The sequence below is a fragment of the Homo sapiens genome, chromosome 13, assembly GCF_000001405.40.
Source record: "Homo sapiens chromosome 13, GRCh38.p14 Primary Assembly".
NCBI lineage: Eukaryota > Metazoa > Chordata > Mammalia > Primates > Hominidae > Homo > Homo sapiens.
Window position 1 is genome coordinate 67,913,552 of NC_000013.11, and position 6,000 is coordinate 67,919,551.

Below are 6,000 nucleotides of genomic sequence, written 5' to 3' on the forward strand. Positions count from 1 at the left end.
TATGAATACTATCACAGGGTGTACAGCCCTGTGACATTAGGAGTAATATCTCTCTGGAATATCATGAATAACATCACAATGTGTACACCCCCTGTGTCATTAAAAGTAAAATTGCCCTAGGATATTACGAAATAGAACACAGGGAGGACACCCCGTGTGACATTAGAAGTAACATCCCCCGAGGATATAACGAATAAGATCAGAGAATGCACCTGCATTGGGACATCAGTAGTAACATCTCTTCAGGACAATAAGAATAATATCAAAGGGTGTACACGCATTGTGAAATTAGTAGTGAACTCCCGCTAGGATATTAGGAATTTTATCACAGGGTCTACATGCCCTGTGACATTAGCAGTAATGTTTTCCTAGAAGATTACGAAGAATATTAAAGGGTGTACAGGACCTGTGAATTACGAGTAACATTTCCATAGCATATTGCATGTAACATCACTGTGTGTACACGCCGTGTGACATTAGGGGTAACACCCCACAAAATTATAACGAATAATTTCACAAGGGTGCACCCTCTGTGACATTAAAAGTAACATTTCCCTAGAATATGACGACAATATCACAGAGTGTACACCCTCTGTGATAGGAGGAGTGACATCTTATGAGGATAACACGAGTAATTTGACAAGGTGTACAAACCCTGTGACATAAGGAGTGACATCCCTCTAGGACATTATGAATAATATCAAAAGGAACATACCCCGTGTGACAATAAAAGCAACCTCCCCTTAGGAGAATAACACCACAGGGTGTACACACAATGTGACATTATTATGAAGGTAAAGCTAGGCTATTGGGAAAAACATCACAGCGTACAGAATCCTGTGACATCAGGTTTAACATTCCCCTACAAAATTGCGAATAATATTGAAGGGTGTACAACCCCTGCTACTTTAGCAGCCGCATCTTGCTAGAATATGGAAGGTAATGTCCCAGGGTGTGAACCGAGGGTGGCAGTATAGAAAGGATCCTAGGAAAAATAGGGGAGTAATATCACCCGCCTCTCGCCCCCTGGATATTACGGTCCACATCGCAGGGGGGCGGGCGACCCAAGCGATGCGGGGAGTCATAACACCCCCCACCTCCCCCCTGGATATTACGATCCACATCTCAGGGGGGCGGGCGCCCCCGCCCCATGCGGGGAGTAATATCACCCTCCTCTCCCCCCAGGATATGACAATCCACAACGCAGGGCGATAGGCGCCCCCCGCGACGCGGGGAGTCATGTCACCCCCCTCTCGCCCCCTGGATATGACGATCCACATCGCAGGAGTGTGAGGCACCCCCCGCGATGCGGGGAGTAAGAGACAGCCCCTCTTCCCCCCTGGATATGAAGATCCACATAGCAGGGGGGTGAGGCACCCCCCGTGATGCGGGGAGTAAGAGCCAGACCCTCTCCCCCTCTGGTTTTTAGGATCCGCGGTGGACTCTCAGCCTGTTTACCATATTGTGAGTAAGATCATCTCCCCCTCTGGAGATTATGAACTGTTTCACAGACGGGTGTACTCCCGTCTGTATTGGGAGTAATATCATCCTCTTCCTCCCTGAATATTAAGAACAGTGTCACAGGGGTGTTTCTACTCCCTGGGATATCGCGTGTCATATCCTCCTCTCCCACGTTGCAATTAGAGACAATATCAGTGGGGGCGTGTCCACCTTCTGCGATATTGAAAGTAATATCATGCTCTTCCCTCCAGGATCATGTGAACAATATCCATGGGGGGTGTCCACTTTCTGCCACATATGTAGTCATATCACCCCCTCTGCCTTGGAATATTATTAAGGACCATCTCACACGGGGGTGTACACTTCCTGCAATATTGGGAGTACTATCAACCTCTCGGCCTCTGAATATTAGGAAGAATATCACAGGGTGGGTGTACACCTCCTGCTCTATTATGGGAAGTCATATCTATCTATTATGGGGAGTAATATCATCCTCTCCCTTTCAGGATATTAATAACAATTTCACAGGCTGGGTGAACACAGCCTGCGATGCTGGAATTATTATCATCCTCTCCCCCTCGGGATACTAGGAACAATATCACAGAAGAGGTGTACACTCCCTGCGATATTGGGAGTAGTATCATACGCTTCTTCCGTGTATATTAGGAGCAATATCACCGGGTGGCTGTACCTTGATTGCTATGTTGGCAGTCATGTCATACTCTACCCGCTGGGTATTATGATCGGTGTCACAGGGTGAGTGTACACCTACTGCGATATGAAAACTATTACAATGCTCTCGATCCCTGGATATTAGGAACAATATCACAGGTAGGTGTACACCCCCTGCAGTATTAGCAGTAATAATATTATGAATTATTAAACATCAGTCTTAGTAATAATCAATGGTAATATTAATAGCATAACGTTATTAATCATTAATGATTATTTTCAAGATATGATTATGCATGATTAAAATTAATTATTAATATTAATGTCACTTTTAATATTAGTTATTAATCTTAATATTAATTATTTTTTTATTACCAACATCACTTATGATTGATTGAAGTAACATTAATTACTGATATCATTATTTTATTATTAATAGTGATATTGCTATTAATTATTAATAGTAACATTAATATTTTTCATCCGTACTGTTTTACTGTCTCTACTGTAATTATTAATATCTATGATTACTATTAATTATTATATCTATTAATATTAATAATTAATATAACTGTTCCCGATATCCGTGGGGGAGAGGATATTACTCCCAATATCGCAGAAAGTGTACACCCCTCTATGATGTTACTCCTAATAGCCAGGGGGTAGAGGATGACATTATTGAAAATAGCGCAGTGGGTGTACATCCCTTCAGTCATCTTGTTCCTAGATGGTTCCTAAAATTAGGAATATTATTTTAATGCTATGATTCTAGCATTACTAGAATCATATTGGACACAAGCAGGGCCTGGACTTAGGCTGAGAAAAATGCCCCCTATGCTGTTTGACAGGGCACCCTGACGTCATGTTCTCTAGGACTTCTGACATATTGAGTCTTCTGGATCCTCCACTTCTTTTTTGGATCATTTTGTTTATTTCTTTGACCAAACAGATACTCGATAATTTCCAAGGATTCCATGCTCATTATCACTCTCCATAGGACACAACATTTCTTTACAAAAAAAAAAAAAAAAAGAGGAGTGGTTGGCTACCACAAATTTCTGGTTAGTAATAATTATCTAACTGAACTTTGCTATTTTGCTTTCCAGTGTAGTCACTTATGCCACTCTTTCTTGAGTGACCCTATTTACCAACCATCAGGACACTCCAAAACCTCTCTTAAAAACCTTTTTTTTTTCAGTTCCCCTTTCTAACTTTGTTTATGGACTTTCGTGTTTTCACTGTTCACCTGTACTACAAATGAGCTTTGTAATTCCTTGAACCTTTTAATTTGAATAACCTTTACATCCTCTACATTTTAGTTTCATGCCTACATATAAACTATCTATCTGATTTACCTCTTCAATAAAAAACAGACTCTTCTAAAATGCAGTGCACATCTGATGTCTGCACAGTTCAAAGCAAAGGCATGCAGACTTGAAATTTTGTTTTAACTCTATAGGTTTTCTGTAAGAACAAGACATAGAGTGCCTTTGTTTTATATCATTAATGCACACATAAAATGCTTTCCTTATCTTTTCTTCACCTGATACCAAAAGCATATAAGCTCTTTCTTAAAAAGAGCATATAAAGAAAAGAATATGTTTAAAAACTACAAATTCTCATCCACTAGTAAAAACTTAAGAATTAGTTTTTTAAAAGAGACTACACAGACAAAATTAGTGCCTTTCATGGTCCGTCATGCCTTTCTTGGAAATGTATCCCTTCTATATTTTCTTTCATGCTTTAGAGGTTGACACCATATAGGACTGTCAACTCTTGAAGCTCTGATTATTGCAATAATGTTTAATGAGTCCAAACACAATTTCTGTATCCTGTAATATATTCTGAACACTACAGCTTTTGTAACTTCCTAAAATAACCATGATCATGTAATTTCCTTGCGAAAATATCTATAAAAATTTCTAATAAATTAAGTTTTTGTCACTTATTCATTGAATAAATATTTGATGCTTACTAAGGTCTATTCTGTACTGTAGGTCACATGGATACAGTAATAAATAAAACGTAAAATGTCTCTGGTGTCATGAACCTTAAATTCTAATTTTACTAAGTACAGAGTAATATGATGGAAAGTGATAGGTGAAGGGTACTTTCTTTGACCAAAGAAAGGCCCTCTAAGCTGTTGACATGCTAGTTAATTTATCTAGGGAGACAGCCAGGAAAACGAATGGAAGCAGCATATTGTAGACAACATGCAAAAAGTAGGGTCGAGATGCTAGGGCAAAAACAGAGATGATCTTTCCAGCCCTAGAACATACAGAGGAGACTGGCAAAAGATGATGTAAAAAAGGGAAGGCAGGGCCAGATCGTGTTGGAATTTCAGGCTGTAGAAAAGGCTTTGAATTTCATTCAAAGTGCAATATGATTCATTCTAAGTGCAATGTAATTTCAATATGATATTAGGATTTTTTAAAAATTCCAACATACAGATGCTCACTTTGAACAACTTTTATGGAAAAAAGGGAAATTTCATGGAATATTATTAGAATATCTCACAAAACTTAAGGCTAGCAATGGAGCTGTGTCTCAGGAACAAAAACATAGATTAGAGACTTAACTGTGAATAGATGATTTCCACTTTATCTTTGCCTCTTTCAGTGTGTCTGCTTCCTTATTTTCTCTTTTTCTGGAACAGATTTTCTTTTATCCCCCTGAAACATAGTCATCAACAACTCCCAAGTGGCACCATAGTTACAAACAATACTAACATATAACTCTTCTACCCATGCTTCTCCCCTGACTCAACCTCTCTCTTGTCTCCCTCTTCTCTATCTGTCTCTGTCTTCATCTCTCTCCCTCTCTCTCAGTTGCTTCTAAAATTTACAGCTAGGTCATAATTGCACAACTGTGTACATCGAAAAAGCAATCAGTGAAGAAAACATTGTAAACAGAAGTCCTGTGTTTGAACATCCAGAAATTTATGAAAATAGGGAAGAAGATAACAATAAATAAATAGCTACATATTTTAATAATGACATGATTTCTAAGCACTTATAATTTTATTTGTTTTCCTCTAAGAAATAGTGTCAAGTGGACAAGAAATGAGTTATTGTACCAATTTTAGAGATAAGCTGAAAATTAAACAGGTAATATTCTTCTTAAAGTTAACAGGTAACTAAGAGTTGTCTGGGAGATGAATTCTATTTTAGAGACAAAGTCTTCTTCATATCCGTGTATCTAATGCAATCCATAGGATTAAATTAAGTTTTTTATATGAGCTTTCAAGGCCCTCCATAGTTCTTTCCAAAATGATTCCTACATGAACCAGACATGCAATTTTTAGTGTGTTATTCAGGGGCTCTTGAGGAACCCTACACTCTACATCTACACCAGGATCTATTTACTCGGGCTTGTAGTCATGTTTATTTTAAGGAACACTTAGTATACGTCTTCTTGATAATGAATTTTTATCCACATATGACTCAGTACCATTAATCTGATAAAATTTGCCAAATTTTAACTTTATACAAACTTAAAACTGTATCCTCAGGCTTCCCCCCTAGGGATTACAAGAGTCTAAGATCCTCATATTATTTGTATACATTCTCCAAGCACTTTTCTTTAACCAAAATATGGCTATTCCATAATGATGCTATTTCCCAAGAGACACAAAAGTAGAAGATATTTAGCTCTCTGACACAATATAATTTTGGAACAGGAGGTAGAATAGCTGCCATTCTTCATTAGAAATATTTGTCACTGGTTCACAGCCTTTCTATGATATCTCTTATCCTCATTATTGGCGACTTCAGCATCTATATTAATGGACCCTTGGAAGAATATTTGTATCTATCTTCTTCTCTCCACTACCTTGTTTTGGTGACCATCACTCTAATCAGTTTCTCA